The sequence below is a fragment of the Homo sapiens genome, chromosome 3 (assembly GCF_000001405.40).
Source record: "Homo sapiens chromosome 3, GRCh38.p14 Primary Assembly".
In the NCBI taxonomy this organism is placed as follows: Eukaryota; Metazoa; Chordata; class Mammalia; order Primates; family Hominidae; genus Homo; species Homo sapiens.
This window is the reverse complement of record NC_000003.12, coordinates 143,926,910-143,943,538: the sequence shown is the minus strand read 5'-3', so window position 1 is coordinate 143,943,538 and position 16,629 is coordinate 143,926,910. Positions and strand designations below refer to the sequence as shown.

General features: G+C 35.6%; 1 annotated feature.

The window, feature by feature from the left end:
* Positions 15,384 to 15,443: an enhancer, noted in NCBI's record as "active region_20660". NCBI's record gives its function as "activates an Ori minimal core promoter by ATAC-STARR-seq in GM12878 lymphoblastoid cells {active_cell/tissue: GM12878}" and the evidence as "EXISTENCE:reporter gene assay evidence [ECO:0000049][PMID:35858748]".

The following is a 16,629-nucleotide window of genomic DNA, read 5'->3' as shown; positions in this document are numbered from 1 at the left end:
CCAGGCTGGAGTGCAGTGGCACGATCTCGGCTCACTGCAAGCTCCGCCTCCCGGGTTCACGCCATTCCCTTCCGAGCAGCTGGGACCACAGGTGCTCACCACCACGCCCAGCTAATTTCTCTGCATTTTTAGTAGAGACGGGGTTTCACCGCGCTAGCCAGGATGGTCTCGATCTCCTGACCTCGTGATCCGCCCGTCTCGGCCTCCCAAAGTGCTGGGACCACAGGCGTGAGCCACCGCGCCCGGCCCAGGCATCCCTACTTTTTAAAATGTTCTAGCTAATGATTTTTACTTGAGGCAATTTTTTCCTTTTTCCATTTAATATATTCTTATTCTGCATTAGATCTAAAGTAAGGCTTTTGAAGGCTCTGGGGAATAATTAGTGAGGTATCTTAAGCTGTTTTCTCCCTTTTGACCTCAAATATTTTCTTTTCATCCTTAATCTTGAAGATTTGAGCACCTACTACAAGAATTTCCTGTGTGGAATCACTTCCTTCTTTTTGCAAACCCTATGGTTTACAGATATAAACATACACACATATACATTTATTTACAGATATCTATGTTTTAAAATAAAAGATTTTAAAATGATAGGACATTTTTTATATACAACACATCTTCAGCAACTGGGTCTGTTGCTGTTGCCCTTTTTGTTCAAAAGTTTTTAAAAGAATTATTGTAGCAATAAGATGAATTATAACACTAAACAATAAGACATTCATTACTTTTAAAGAAAAAATTAGTAAATAATCACAATTAGTCAATATTTTATTAACTGTAGACACTATTTAATGACTGTAGTCTATGTATATTGGCATGTCATCAAGTTTAATTCATATTGATTAGTACAAAAGTAAAGAACTAGAGCTATTAGATAAAATATTTATATTCTCCATTAAAATACCAAACGTGGATGCTTATTTCATGCCATATATTATTTCAATTACCAATCTAAAATCATAACATAATTTTGTTTCAGGGAAATTGAAAAAGTTTGAGGAAAAACACATTTCTTAAGTTGTTTTCCTACATGGACATGTATTTATTAAATTCACAATGCATTTTGAAAAATATTTATTCATCGGTAAAATAGCTCAATGAGCATGCTTTCACTTTACAAATTCATTATTTAAATATTAAGGTCAAATGCATTAAACATTGGTGAACAGGTTTAGTAGTCTTCGAAGTACTGTGCACACACCTTAGTTGCTATGCAAATGGATTTAGTATGATGCGGGAAGAAAATATTAGAACATATGTTTCTCGTTAATTTTTTTAAAGTTCACTCATTTAAAATGGCTATTTTTATGAATTCCTATAATATGTAAGATATTAGTATAGAAATACATGTATGTAATTTGTAAGTAAGTTATATTTAATGGGTATGCTGGTGCACAATTGAATTTCCTAATAGCATTGCACAATTTAAAAACTGCAGATCTATTTTAAACTTTGAGGAAACTTTATAGTATTTTTCATAATGGCTGTACCAATTTACATTCCTATCAACAGTGTACAAGCATTCCCTTTTCCCCACATTCTAATAAACAATTATTTTTGTATTTTTGATGATAGTAATTCTACAAAATATAATGTGATATCTAACGGTGGTTTTAGTTGTGCGTATTCCTGATGATTAGCAATGTTTAGCTCCTTTTAAAATATCTGTCGGTCATTTGTATGTCTTCTTAGAAATGTTTACTCCAATCCTTTGTCCATTTTTTAATTGGATTATTTGTTCTTTTGCTATTTAGTTGAGTCTTTTGCATATTTTGGATATTAACCCTTTATCAGATACATGGTTTGCAAATACGTTCCTTCATTCTGTGGCTTGACTTTTCACTTGATTGCTTCCTTTGCTCTACAAAAGATTTTCAGTTTGTTGCAATCCCACTGGTCTATTTTTGCTTTGGTTGCTTGTGCTTTTGGTAACATAACCAAAAAATTGTCAAGAGCAGTGCCAAGAAGATTTTCCCCTATCTTTTCTTCTAGTTTTGCAGTTTCAGGTCTTACAGACTTTAATACATTTTGAGTTGATTTTTGTATATGATAGCAGATAAGGGTCCAATGTCATTCTTTTACATGTGGATATCTAGATTTCCCAATACCATTTATTGAAGGAACTGTCCTTTCCTCGATTATGCATTTCTTGGCATCTTTATCAAAGATCAGTTCACTATAAATATATGGATTTATTTCTGAGCTCTATTCTATTCCATTGGACTATATGTCTGTTTTTAAGCCAGTATACTGTTTTGTAGCTTTGTAATGTATTTTGAAATCAGAAAGTGTGATATTTCTAGCCTTGTTCTTGCTTAAAATGGCTTTGGCTCTTTGAGGTATTTTGTAGTTCCATATGAACTTTAATTTTTTTTCTTACTATAAAGAATGCCACTAGGACTTTGATAGGTATTGCATTCAATCTGTGGATCACTTTGGGTAGTATGGACATTTTTGTAATATTAATCCTTTTTTCATTTCTTGTTTTTAGATTACAGTCTTGAATTCCTGGGCTCACATGATGTTTCTACCTCAGCCTTCCTAGCAGCTGGAAATAAAGGCAAACGCCACAATGACCAGCTAATTTTTTAATTTAGTGTTATTGAGATGGGATCTTGCTATGTTGCCCAAGCTTACCCAGAACTCCTGGCCTCAAGCATCTTGCTGCTTTAGCCTCCTGAATAGCTGGGATTACAGGCACAAGCCATCACTCCCAGATTAATTCTTCTAATCTATGAACACATGATGTTTTTTCATTTATCTGTGTCATCTTCAGTTTCGTGCATCAATGTTTTAGTTTTCAGTATACACGTCTTTAACTTCTAAATATTTCATTCGTTTTGTTGCTGTTGTAAATGGGATTGTTTTCTTAATTTTGTTTTCAGATGGCTCGTTGTTAGTATATAGAAATATCACTGATTTTTGTATGTTGATTTTTGTATCCTAAAACTTCAATGAATTCATTTGTTCTAATATTTTGATGTATTGTTGAGTCTTTAAGGTTTTCTGCACATATGATCATATCATCTGCAAACAGATAATTTTACTTCCTTCTTTATTTGGATGAATTTTATTTCTTTTTCATCTCTAATTTGTTCTGGCTAGGACTCTCAGTACTATGCTGAATAGAAGCGGCTAGAGTGGGCATCTTTGCCCTGTACCAGATCTTAGAGGAAAAGCTTTACTTTTCCCCCATTGATTATGATGGTAGCTGCAGTTATTTCATATATGACCTTTACTATGTTAAAGTTAGTTTCTTCTATACCTGTTTTGTTGTATTTTAATCATGAATGGGTATTAAATTTTGTCAAATGTTTCTGTCAAATAGATTTGTCAAATCTATTAATATGTTCACCTGGTTTTTATCTTTTATTCTCTTAATGTACCACATTGATTGATTTGAATATATTAAACCATCGTTGCATCCCAGGGATAAATTATACTTGGTCATGGTGTATAATCCTTTTAGTGTGCTGTCAAATTAATTTTGCTAGTATTTTATTTAAGTTTTTTGTATCTATGTTCATAGGGATATTAACCTGTAGGGTTTTTCTTTTTCTTATGGTAACTTTATCTGACTTTGGTATCAGGATAATGCTAACTTCATAAAATGAGTTTGGAAATATCCCTCCTATTTTTTGGAGGAGTTTTGGAGTTTAAAAAGGATTGGATTAATTCTTTTTGAAATGTTTGATGGAATTCACCCATAAAGATGTCTAGTTCTGGGATTTTCTTTGGGAAATTTTTATTATTGATTCAATCTCCATATTTGTTAGTGGTCTGTTCAGGCTTTCTATTTCTTCTTGACTGAATTATGGTAGGTTTTGTGTTTCTAGGAAATTATCCACTTATTCTAGGTTATCTAATTTGTTTCCATGTAAGTGTTCATAATAGTCCTTTATGATCCGTTTAATTTCTGAGGCATTCATTGTAATGTCTCCTCTTTCATTTTTGATTTTACTTGAGTCTTCTCTCTAGCTAAAGATTTGTTGTTTAAAAAAACTCCTAATTTTGTTGATTTTTTTTCTTATTTTCTATTTTTTTATTTCCGCTCTATTTTCTGTTTCTTTTTTTCTGATAATTTTAGACTTTTCAGTTACTTGAGGTGCAAAGAACTGAACCTTGTAAATTGGTTTGCTTATTTGAGATCTTCCTTCTTTTTTAATGTAAGTATTTATGGTTATAAGCATCCTTCTTGGTGCTGCTTTTGCTGCAACGCATTACTTTTGGTATACGGTATTTTTGTTTTCTCATTTTTCTTGAGATTTTTTTAAAAATCCTTTTGATATCCTCCTCGACCCAAAGGTCCTTCAAGATTATGTGGTTTAGCTCCCACATATTTATTAATTTTTTTCATTTCCATATAATCCAGCAATCCCACTTTTGGGTATGTACCCAAAGGAAATGAAATCAGTATTTCTTTTTTTAAAATTTTTATTTCTATTTTAAGTTCTGGGGTACATGTACAGGATATACAGGTTTGTTACATAGGTAAAAGTGTGCCATAGTGGTTTGTTGCACCTACCAACCCATCACCTAGGTATTAAGCTCAGCATGCATTAGCTATTTTTTCGAATGCTCTCCCTTCCCCATCCCCATCCCCTGACAGGACCCAGTGTGTGTTGTTCTTCTCCCTCTGTCCATGTGTTCTCATTGTTCAGCTCCCACTTATAAGTGAGAACATGAGCTGTTTGGTTTTCTGTTACTTTGGTGAGGATAACAGCTTCCAGCTCCACCCATGTCCCTGCAAAGGACATGGTCTTGTTCCTTTTTATGGCTGCATAGTATTCCATGGTGTATATGTACCATATCTTTGATGGGCATTTGGGTTGATTCCATGTCTTTGCTATTGTGAATAGTGCTGCAGTGAACATATGCATGCATGCATCTTTGTAATAGAATGATTTATATTCCTTTGCATGTATACCCAGTAATGGGATTGCTGGTTCAAAGGGTATTTCGGGTTCTAGATCTTTGAAGAATTGCCACACTGTCTTTCACAATGGTTGTGCTAATTTACATTCCCACCAGCAGTGTAAAAGCATTCCTATTTCTCTACAACCTCACCAGCAACTCTTGTTTCTTGACTTTTTAATAATGGCCATTCTGACTGGCATGAGATGGTATCTCATTGTGGTTTTGATTTGCATTTCTCTAATGATTAGTGATGTTGAGCTTTTTTTCATATGTTTGTTGGCCGCATGAATGTCTTTTCAGAAGAGTCTGTTTATGTCCTTTGCCTACTTTTAAATGGGGTAGGTTGGTTTTTTCTTGTACATTTGTTTAAGTTCCTTGTAGATTCTGGATATTATACCTTTGTCAGAGGGACAGATGGCAAAATTTTCTCCCACTCAGTATTTCAAAGAGATAGTTGCATTTCTATGTTCATTGCAGCATTATTCATAATTGCCAAGATATGGAAGCAACCTAAATACCCACCGATAGATGAATGAATAAGGAAAATGTGGAATATCACGTGGCAGCTCAATTTTTAGTTTCTTAAGGAACCTGCAAACTGTCCTCCATAGTGGTTGTGTAGGGGAACATAGGGAGATGTTGCTCAAAGGGTACAAAGTTTTGGTTGTGCAAGATGAATGGGTTCTGGATAGCTAATATACAGCATGGTGACTACAGTGAACAGTACTGTATTGTATACATGAAATTAGCTAGAGAGTAGATCATAAGTGTTCTCACTGAAAAGGGAAGAAAAAGGGAGAGAGAAAAAAGAGAGGGAGAGAAAGGAAGGAAGAAAGAAAGAAAAATAGTTGTTATATGAGGATCATAAATTTGTTAATCAGCTTGATTATGGTGTTCATTTCACAATATATCACAGCAGCAAGTGTGTATCTTAAATGTATATAATTCCTGGCTGGATGTGGTGGCTCACGCCTATAATCCCAGCACTTTGGGAGGCTGAGGCGGGCGGATCATGAGGTCAAGAGATCGAGACCATCCTGGCCAACATGGTGAAACCCCGTATCTACTAAAAATACAAAAATTATCTGGGCATGGTGGTGCGTGCCTGTAGTCCCAGCTACTTGGGAGGGTAAGGCAGGAGAATCGCTTGAAACAGAGGTGGAGGTTGCAGTGAGTCGACATCGCACCACTGCACTCCAGCCTGGTGACAGAGTGAGACTCTGTCTCAAAGAAGAAAAAGAAAATGTGTACAATTCCTATTTGTCAATTATACCGCAATAAAGTTGAAAAAAATTAAAACAGCAGCAACAAAGCCTGTTGGAATTTTGATAGGAATTGCTTTGAAGTCATAACAGCAATTTTGGGAGAAGTGACATTTTCTTATCTATGATAAGCATATGTCTTTCTATTTTTTAATGTTTTTCGGTAAAGATCTGTAGTTTTATCAAAAAAGATAAACGTGAGGGTTTAACTTGGCATATTTAATTGGCCACAGCTTACAGCTTGGTGTCTTAGTTCCTTGAGGGTAGTGACTGCGACTCATTTCTCCAACAATGTTTATCTCAGTGCTCAGGTCTCATAAATACTAGTAAATCCTTCTGTACTGACTAAAATTGAAAAAAGTAAGATTCTAGCCTTGATCAGGAAGTGATAAAAGTGTCAAATTGTAACCTAATTAATAGTAAACATAAGAAGTAAGCCCAATAATATTAAAATAATATATAACTAAAAATGAAAACAATATTTAGTCAAATTACATTCTGAGTACAATATAATTCTCCGTATCATATGTCTTGTTGATTGTCATGCAACTCTTAGTAAACTAATGTTAAATGTAAAAAAAAAAAAAAAAGTTTGTAGATTTGTAAACATTTAACTCTAACTATAAGCTTGTTCTCTCTTGTGCGGCTGGTATGTAATATGGTGCTAGACAGAATAGAGATGCTCAGTAAATACTTGTGAATGAATAATTAATAAGAATGGATAGAGAAGGACTCCATGCATTATTTACATTTTAGAATGCTGCAGAAATAGACCCAATTCAGAAATAGAGTCGATGTTTCCTACACCTGTTTTTTTTGTTTGTTTGTTTGTTTGTTTAGACATGTAAACTTAGTGTTTGCTGTAATACTGGATTATCTCAGGAAGTACAGAGCCTTCTGAAATGCATTCCCCTATTTTTTTTTAGCTTTAGTGTAGAACAAAAACAAAAATAAAAACAAAAAATAAACGATATAAGTACAAGTTGATATGCTTGAATTCCATTTGGACTTAATGAAGAGGTTAGGAAAAAATTTACTATCAAATCTAAAAATGTTGAAAGGGAGCAAAAGGAGGTGTTACAGGAAGACTTATGAAGACATATCTTTTACTACTAATGTTCAGAACCTCAGCTTTCAAGAATAAATGTCATTTTACTTTTTTTTACAAGACTGTATATCTCTAAGTTTACCTAGGTTTCTAAAATTAAAATTAAGCAATAAGGAGAAATAAAAATTTAGGTGGAATTCTTTTTTAAAAGGAATGAATAACTGCATAGCTTCTCATACAGAAATTATAGCCCTGTTATTTTGGAAGGAATTGTAGTATTTTCTCAGAAACCTGCAGTTTGGGTCTCAGCAAGCTGTAGGAAATGAAGGATATAAGATTGTTTGCTGATAAACTTGAAGATCAAAGCAGACAGTATAATCCCATAGGTATGTGAAATCACTGGAAAGAGAATCATCTTGGCAATGCCGAGCCTGATTGAATCATCATGGCCAAGGAAAGATTATGCCAATATCTTTGAGTGCTGCTCAGTCAAAGAGCACCTATGTAGTAGTTGGACTTCAGAGTATTTCATTTCAGATGACTTCTGGTATATCTACAGATGCAGGGAGTGTAACCAATGGACTTTTAAGGGTTTTTTGGTTTTGGTTTTTGTTTTAATCAAGACCATTCTTACTGGGAAGTTTAAGTTAGTGTCTCTGCTTGATAGGGTTCCATCCCAACAAGGGCCTCCTCCTGATTTGGTTGCTTACATGGGCACATGTACTAATTAAACGAGCTTAGGTCCTTTCTGATTCCCTTGATAATGGTTCTTCAGGTGAACTAATCAAGTGGCTTCTGATGATGACTGGATTCAGGCTGAGAACATGACCATAGTAGAAATGTAGGCATTCCAAACCATGAGGCAGAATTCTTGTTAACATTCCGGTGTTTTCTAGCTGAGATTCACTTTAGGAACCAAGAAACTTGCTCAGATCTTATCACTCCTTATGAAGACAGAAGCAAAGTCCTCATTTTTCAACATTAAAAGGTTTCAATATAAAAAGGTTTAATATTGAAAGCATTTTTCAATATTAAAATGTTGACCAAAAGCCAGGATTTGGCGGTTCAGTGAGCTCCAGCCAGCCTCCACTTCAAGAACCTAGGTAGCTACTTCTATGTTCTCTGTTAACCCAGAAAGAATTTTTACACAAAACACAAAGTCAAACATCTACCTCTGCACAAAATAACAACCAAATAAACCACAAAAGACTTGAAGAACAAGGTGGAAATTTGCTTTGCAACTTCCTAAAGGAGTGGCACAGTAATCTCAGACTGCGTCATACAACATCAACATACAGCAGTGCTCCAAGTTCTCACACTTAAAACAGCTGTTTTAAAGTCAGTCTGTCTCGTCACCCCCATGTTTTTGCAACTGATCCTGTCATCCACACCCCTTGCATTTCACAGTGTTTAGCTCAGGTTCTACCACTTTAAAAATCTACCCGAATTCTGACCTACACTCCCTCTGAGAAAAGCAGTTGTTTCTGAGTGTTCTCTTAGTAAACAGTCCCCCTGAGATTCTGGAGAATAAAATCTTCTACCTTAGTATATAGTTGTAGGAACAAAAACAGCCTTAGAAAGTCTTGGAAATGATGTATCATTTTTGTTTTAAAAAGTAAGTATGGAATGAGTGTTTTTTTATTTTAGCATAGGCACAAATTATTTAAATATAAAAATAACATATTGAGAGAAAATGATTATTTAAACCCTTGTTTGATAGTAAATTACTCTATCACAGGTAGAAAGGGAAAGGCTTTGAAAAGAATTCCAATGGATATTTGAAAATGTTTGGTAATGAAATAATATTTAGAATTGAATTTATTTTTGGCATTACAGAGTTGATTGCTAGATAACACTCTTCTTAATCTCAGATCATTTCTCAGGTTATTGTATTTTGCTTTTATTTTATTCTAAGGAAACTCATTAGGCTGGAATTGATGCAATTCTTTTATTTCCTGGTGATATGATGCTAGCCAAGTCATTTCATTTCTTGGAACTTTAGTTTTTCCACCTGTAACATAGGGTTAATATTTGTACTGTTATTAAGAATAAATGGTATAATTTTATATGTGTAATAAGAAAAATTTTAACAACTGACATCACAACTCACCCTAGTAAGAAAGTTAAGGGACAATTGCCTATATGCTAGAACATAACATGTGAATTTCAGTTTCTTCCTTAAAATTATTTATTCCTCTTGAATTAATTTTTGTATAAGGTGTAAGGAAGGGATCCAGTTTCAGCTTTATTTTTGTCAGGTTTGTCAAAGATCAGATGGTTGTAGATGTGTGGTATTATTTCTGAGGGCTCTGTTCTGTTCCATTGGTCTATATCTCTGTTTTGGTACCAGTACCATGCTGTTTTGGTTACTGTAGCCTTGTAGTATAGTTTGAAGTCAGGTAGCCTGATGCCTCCAGGTTTGTTCTTTTGGCTTAGGATTGACTGGGCAATGCGGGCTCTTTTTTTGTTCCATACAAACTTTAAAGTAGTTTTTTCCCATTCTATGAAGAAAGTCATTGGTAGCTTGATGGGGATGGCATTGAATCTCTAAATTACCTTGGGCAGTATGGCCATTTTCACAATATTGATTCTTACTACCTATGAGCATGGAATGTTCTTCCATTTGTTTGTATCTTCTTTTATTTCATTGAGCAGTGGTTTGTAGTTCTCCTTGAAGAGGTCCTTCACATCCCTTGTAAGTTGGATTCCTAGGTATTTTATTCTCTTTGAAGCAATTGTGAATCGGAGTTCACCATGATTTGGCTCTCTGTTTGTCTATTATTGGTGTATAAGAATGATTGTGATTTTTGCACTTTGATTTTGTATCCTGAGACTTTGCTGAAATTACTTATCAGCTTAAGGAGATTTTGGGCTGAGACAATGGGGTTTTCTAAATATACAATCATGTCATCTGCAAACAGGGACAATTTGACTTCCTCTTTTCCTAATTGAATACCCTTTATTTCTTTCTCCTGCCTGATTGCCCTGGCCAGATCTTCCAACACTATGTTGAATAGGAGTGGTGAGAGAGGGCATCCCTGTCTTGTACCAGTTTTCAAAGGGAATGCTTCCAGTTTTTGTCCATTCAGTATGATATTGGCTGTGAGTTTGTCATAGATAGCTCTTATTATTTTGAGATATGTCCCATCAATACCTAATTTATTGAGAGTTTTTAGCATGAATGGTTGTTGAATTTTGTCAAAGGCCTTTTCTGCATCTATTGAGATAATTATGTGGTTTTTGTCTTTGGTTCTGTTTATATGGTGGATTACATTTATTGATTTTCGTATGTTGAACCAGCCTTGCATCCCAGGGATGAAGCCCACTTGATCATGGTGGATAAGCTTTTTGATGTGTTGCTGGATTCGGTTTGCCAGTATTTTACTGAGGATTTTTAAATCAATGTTCATCAAGGATATTGGTCTAAAATTCTCTTTTTTTGTTGTGTCTCTGCCAGGCTTTGGTATCAGGATGATGTTGGCCTCATAAAATAAGTTACGGAGGATTCCCTCTTTTTCTATTGATTGGAATAGTTTCAGAAGGAATGGTACCAGCTCCTCCTTGTACCTCTGGTAGAATTCGACTGTGATTCCGTCTGGTCCTGGACTTTTTTTGGTTGGTAAGCTATTAAATATTGCCTCAATTTCAGAGCCTGTTATTGGTTTATTCAGAGATTCAACTTCTTCCTGGTTTGGTCTTGGGAGAGTGTATGTGTCGAAGAATTTATCCATTTCTTCTAGATTTTCTAGTTTATTTGCGTAGAGGTGTTTATAGTATTCTCTGATGGTAGTTTGTATTTCTGTGGGATCGATGGTGATATCCCCTTTATCATTTTTTATTGTATCTATTTGATTCTTCTCTTTTCTTCTTTATTAGTCTTGCTAGCGGTCTATCAATTTTGTTGATCTTTTCAAAAAACCAGCTCCTGGATTCATTGATTTTTTGAAGGGTTTTTTGTGTCTCTATTTCCTTCAGTTGTGCTCTGATCTTAGTTATTTCTTGCCTTCTACTAGCTTTTGAATGTGTTTGCTCTTGCTTCTCTAGTTCTTTTAATTGTGATGTTAGGGTGTCAATTTTAGATCTTTCCTGCTTTCTCTTGTGGGCATTTAGTGCTATAAATTTCCCTCACACACTGCTTTGAATGTGTCCCAGAGATTCTGGTATGTTGTGTCTTTGTTCTCGTTGGTTTCAACAAACATCTTTATTTCTGCCTTCATTTTGTTATGTACCCAGTAGTCATTCAGGATTAAAGACTTACATGTTAGACCTAAAACCATAAAAACCCTAGAAGAAAACCTAGGCAATACCATTCAAGACATGGGCATGGGCAAGGACTTCATTTCTAAAACACCAAAAGCAATGGCAACAAAAGCCAAAATTGACAAATGGGATCTAATTAAACTAAACAGCTTCTGCACAGCAAAAGAAAGCACCATCAGAGTGAACAGGCAACCTACAGAATGGGAGAAAATTTTGCAACCTACTCATCTGACAAAGGGCTAGTATCCAGAATCTACAATGAACTCAAACAAATTTACAAGAAAAAACCAACGCCAACAAAAAGTGGGCGAAGGATATGATCAGACACTTCTCAAAAGAAGACATTTATGCAGCCAAAAAAACATGAAAATATGCTCACCATCACTGGCCATCAGAGAAATGCAAATCAAAACCACAATGAGATACCATCTCACACCAGTTAGAATGGCGATCATTAAAATGTCCGGGAACAACAGGTGCTGGAGAGGATGTGGAGAAATAGGAACACTTTTACACTGTTGGTGGGACTGTAAACTAGTTCAACCATTGTGGAAGTCAGTGAGGCGATTCCTCAGGGATCTAGAACTAGAAATACCATTTGACCCAGCCATCCCATTACTGGGTATATACCCAAAGGATTATAAATCATGCTGCTATAAAGACACATGCACACATATGTTTATTGCGGCACTATTCACAATAGCAAAGACTTGGAACCAACCCAAATGTCCAACAATGATAGACTGGATTAAGAAAATGTGGCACATATACACCATGGAATACTATGCAGCCATAAAAATAATGAGTTCATGTCCTTTGTAGGGACATGGATGAAACCGCAAACCATCATTCTCAGCAAACTATCGCAAGGACAAAAAACCAAACACCACATGTTCTCGATCATGGGTGGGAATTGAACAATGAGAATACATGGACACAGGAAGGGGAACATCACACTCTGGGGACTGTTGTGGGGTGGGGGGAGGGGGGAGAGATAGCATTAGGAGATATACCTAATGCTAAATGACGAGTTAATGGGTGCAGCACACCAGCATGGCACACGTATACATATGTAACTAACCTGCACATTGTGCACATGTACCCTAAAACTTAAAGTGTAATAATAATAATAAAAGAATTATTTATTCCTCAAAAAAATAGCAATCTTAAAGTCTCATGTTATAGGACATTCTTTTAATAGTTTCATGTTGAACAACAGAAAAACTGTTTGGGGAAGATTTGGGAAAGATTCCTGAAACAGCCTCAATCAATGTTAGTTTCAGTTGTTTATAAATGTTACGCAAGATAATTGGTTACAAGAAAGGAGGCAAATAAATTTAACCCAGCTATAGTCATTATTCCCCCACCACAACCATTCAATTGCAAGTGTTGAATGTCACAGAAAATAAAACTTAAAAGTCACTTGAAAAAGCAATAAGTGGTTACATCATGGAGAACATAAATAACACGTTTTCATTTTGGCGTTGGATAAAATTTCAGTAAAAGCAGGCTGATTGGATTAAAAATGCTATACTTGGAACTAGTTAGAAATTAACTTGATGTGTGTGATGGTTAATATTGAGTGTCAACTTGATTGGATTGAAGGATGCAAAGTATTGTTCCTGGGTGTGTCTGTGAGTGTGTTGCCAAAGGAGATTAACATTTGAGTCCATGACTGGGAGACGCAGACCCACTCTCAATCTGGGTGGGTACCATCTAATCAGCTGCCGATGCAATAGAATAAAGCAGGCAGAAGTTGGGAAGAGCAGACTTGCTGAGTCTTCTGGCTTTCGTCTTTCTCCCACGCTGGATGCTTTCCGCTCTCAAACATCAGACTCCGTGTTCTTCAGCTTTTGGACTCTTGGGCCACAAGCAGGTGGGTGTTGGGAGCACTAAAGTGTCTTATAAAGTTAAGATAGTATTATTCTCAATCTGATAACTTGCATCAAAAACTTGACATCTGCTATAAGTACAATGGAGTATTTTGTGTCCAATTCTATGACTTTTAAAAAATTAATTTGAGGCATTTGTGTAATTTTATAATTCAGATTAATTCTGTCTTATCTTTTTTGAGCCCTATTTTCAAATAAGGAATATTTGAGAAACCAATTGTTTATTTCAAAATGAGTATTTTATGAAATAAGGGTAAAGCATCATGTTTTTAGTGAAGAGAAACCTGTCACTGAGATAACAATTGGTTTGAATCTTCCTTACTTCATTTTTACATGAAATCTCCATGCTTATGCTAGAGCCACAAGCTTGCTAAATTTCTTTGTGCACAATTTTACAGTTATTACCTTCATTTTAAGAGAGCCATATTAGAAATTCAACTGCATTATTTACTTTACCAGGGAGCCTTTCTCAGGAACATAAATATTAGGTGTAAAGAACATGTGGATCACAGCACCCAGGTAGAAGGCGGCTCAGGCAAGATCTTTAGGAAAATTGCCTTTAGAAGTTAATGGAAAAAGCATTAACTTCTAGAATCATAACTTTAAAAAAAAGCATGAGAAATTAAAACATTCTAATTGTATCATAAAAGATGTTACATGTCTATCTATATATCTATATCTATCTATATCTATCTATGTATATCTATCTATATCTATCTATCTCTATATATCTATCTATATAGCTATCTATATATATCCATATATCTATCTATATCTATGTATCTATATATCTATTTATATCTATATCTATCTATCTATCTATCTATCTATCTATCTATCTATCTATCTATCTATATGGTTTCCATAATAAGAAAGCCTTCACCATTTTTGGTAAATGAAAGTGGCATTTTATAAGCTTTAGGTAAGAAAAGCAGTTATGTGAAGTTTTGTCTGCCAGTAACTATTGCCAAATTAGCCAGTCTTATTTAAGCTACTTTACATCTTAAATAATTTTAGGGATGTATCTGTTTTGAAAGCATGAGTCTAGTTTATGCAAGACTGAATGATAAGAATTCAAATTCAAAGCTGAATGTGCTTTGTGGTTTACTGTCCTCTGCAAAGAATTTGTCTCCATTTAAAATGGAGGAGTGGAGAGGGGCAGGATACCACTTCCTCAGTCACAAAGGGTTTTTGCCGTGTTCCTTATGTCTCTTGTTATCGTGGATCTATTCCTGTAAAACTTGTAGTCATTATTATCTAAAAAAAGCCTTTGAGGCCTAACTGCTGACATATAATCAAAGTAGAATTATTATGTATCTTGGTATAATCCACTGTAATCAAAGTTGTATACTCTCTGATTACACGTGCAATTGTTCTACAGTTATGAAACAGTTGCTGGGAATGTTCTTGAGAACCAGTTTTTCCCCTTATCAGTCCTTCATGAAATCTGCTGCTGCATTTACAGTAAAAATCTTAAAGTCTTTGTTCCCTCAAATACTCATTATCTTCTATATAAAGCTTCATGGGAGGAATTTCTTCTGGAATTTGGTTTTGAGGTCCTAACTTTTCACAGCAACAGAGAAGAATGAAAAGACAGAGATGCTACCAGAGAGAATTAAATAAGAATTCTAAGAGAGAAAAAAATTCTCCTTGACCAACCTTATTTATAATATTTTTATTCCTCACACTGGAAGGTTCGTTTGTTCACCCACAAACATCCCATTTCATCCTGAGGGTTGGAGTAGCATCAGTAATCCGAAGTTCTCAAGCTGCACACTCTACTTCCTGGGCTTATGGCAGACATTGTTAGTTGATCTAGGTACTGTTTGTTGCATGACCTCAGAATCTTTTTCAATACAAAGGATTGGCAGCCAATGCCAAGCAGTCACTACAAGATGAAACCCATCTGTCACCTTTAGGTTAGAAAGCATGACTAAAAATTCCCCTTTTAAACACTTTGGTAGATGTTTGTGTGAAGACATTGAAACCTTATCAGATTTGCAGAAGACATCACAATGTGAAGGTTGACTTGTGAGAGCAGCTTAGTGTTATGCAAAGAACATGATCTGGGTACAAGCTCAGACTTTGACTCCCAGGATGATACTGTGCAAATCACCTTCCATTTTTTCCCTTTGTAAAATTAATACCTTAATGTACCACTTGGATCTGCAGTTAGGATCTAATTTAATAATTGGGTGTGAAAACCATTTATAAAGTGTCCATTGATAGACACTTGGAAGCCAACGTTATTTTTATGTTTCTTGGAAAACTGCGAGACAAGCACATTTTTTATTCATCTATTGTCTTACCCTGTTTGGGCTGCCATAACAAAATACTGTAGATTACATAGTTTAAATGACAGAAAATTATTTTCTCATAGTCCTGGAAGCTGGAAAGTCAAAGATCAGGATCTGGCAGCTTCAGTCTCTAGTGAGAATTCTTTCTGGCCTGCAGATGGTCGCCTTCTTACCGTGTCCTCACGTCATGGGGAGAGAGCAAGAAAATTTCTCTGTCTCATCTTTTAAGGAAACTAACTCTACTGGATCAGGATAGATCCTTATGTATCACTTTATTTAACCTTAGTTTTATAAAGGACTTATCTCCAAATACAGTCACTGTCACATAGGGGTTAGGAATTCAACCTATGAATTTGGGAGGGACATATTTAATGCATAACAACTGTGTGTCTTGAACTCCTGGCTTAGAAGGGCTGGCAGTCATGTCAGCAAATCTGAACCCAGGCACAGAGGAGCAGCATTTATTTTTATTATACCAGGGAGATGCAGGGAGTTCTGGCCCAAGAGGAGCCAGGCTGATTAGTGTAGTTCTTAATAATACTAGGGGGCACCATATTAGATTCTGAGCCAAGTGGTGCCAAGAGATTGAGTTTAGCTAAAGGGTCAAGAAAAAGAAGTGAGATCCAGCTTTGAGGTCTGGCTGAGGACACATAGAGATCAGGCCCTGGCTTACTTCCTCACTGAGACCCTCTAAGAAATCCCACAGTGGAAGGCTACAAAGCCTAGAGGGACCCATCCCAAGGATAGTGAAGCCCCAGAATGTAGCAGACATCATGAGACACGAAGGGTAGATATGAGTAATATTGTTATTTGCTCATTATCTAGGCAGGGCTACAGTCAAACAGACCACTCACCCCTAATAGGCAACTGAAGTGGTTTAGCCGTCAGATCCAAAGAGCTGGAAATTTTCCCTTCTTTTCCAATCCCCTGTCCCTCGCCTTCCCTGTCTGCTT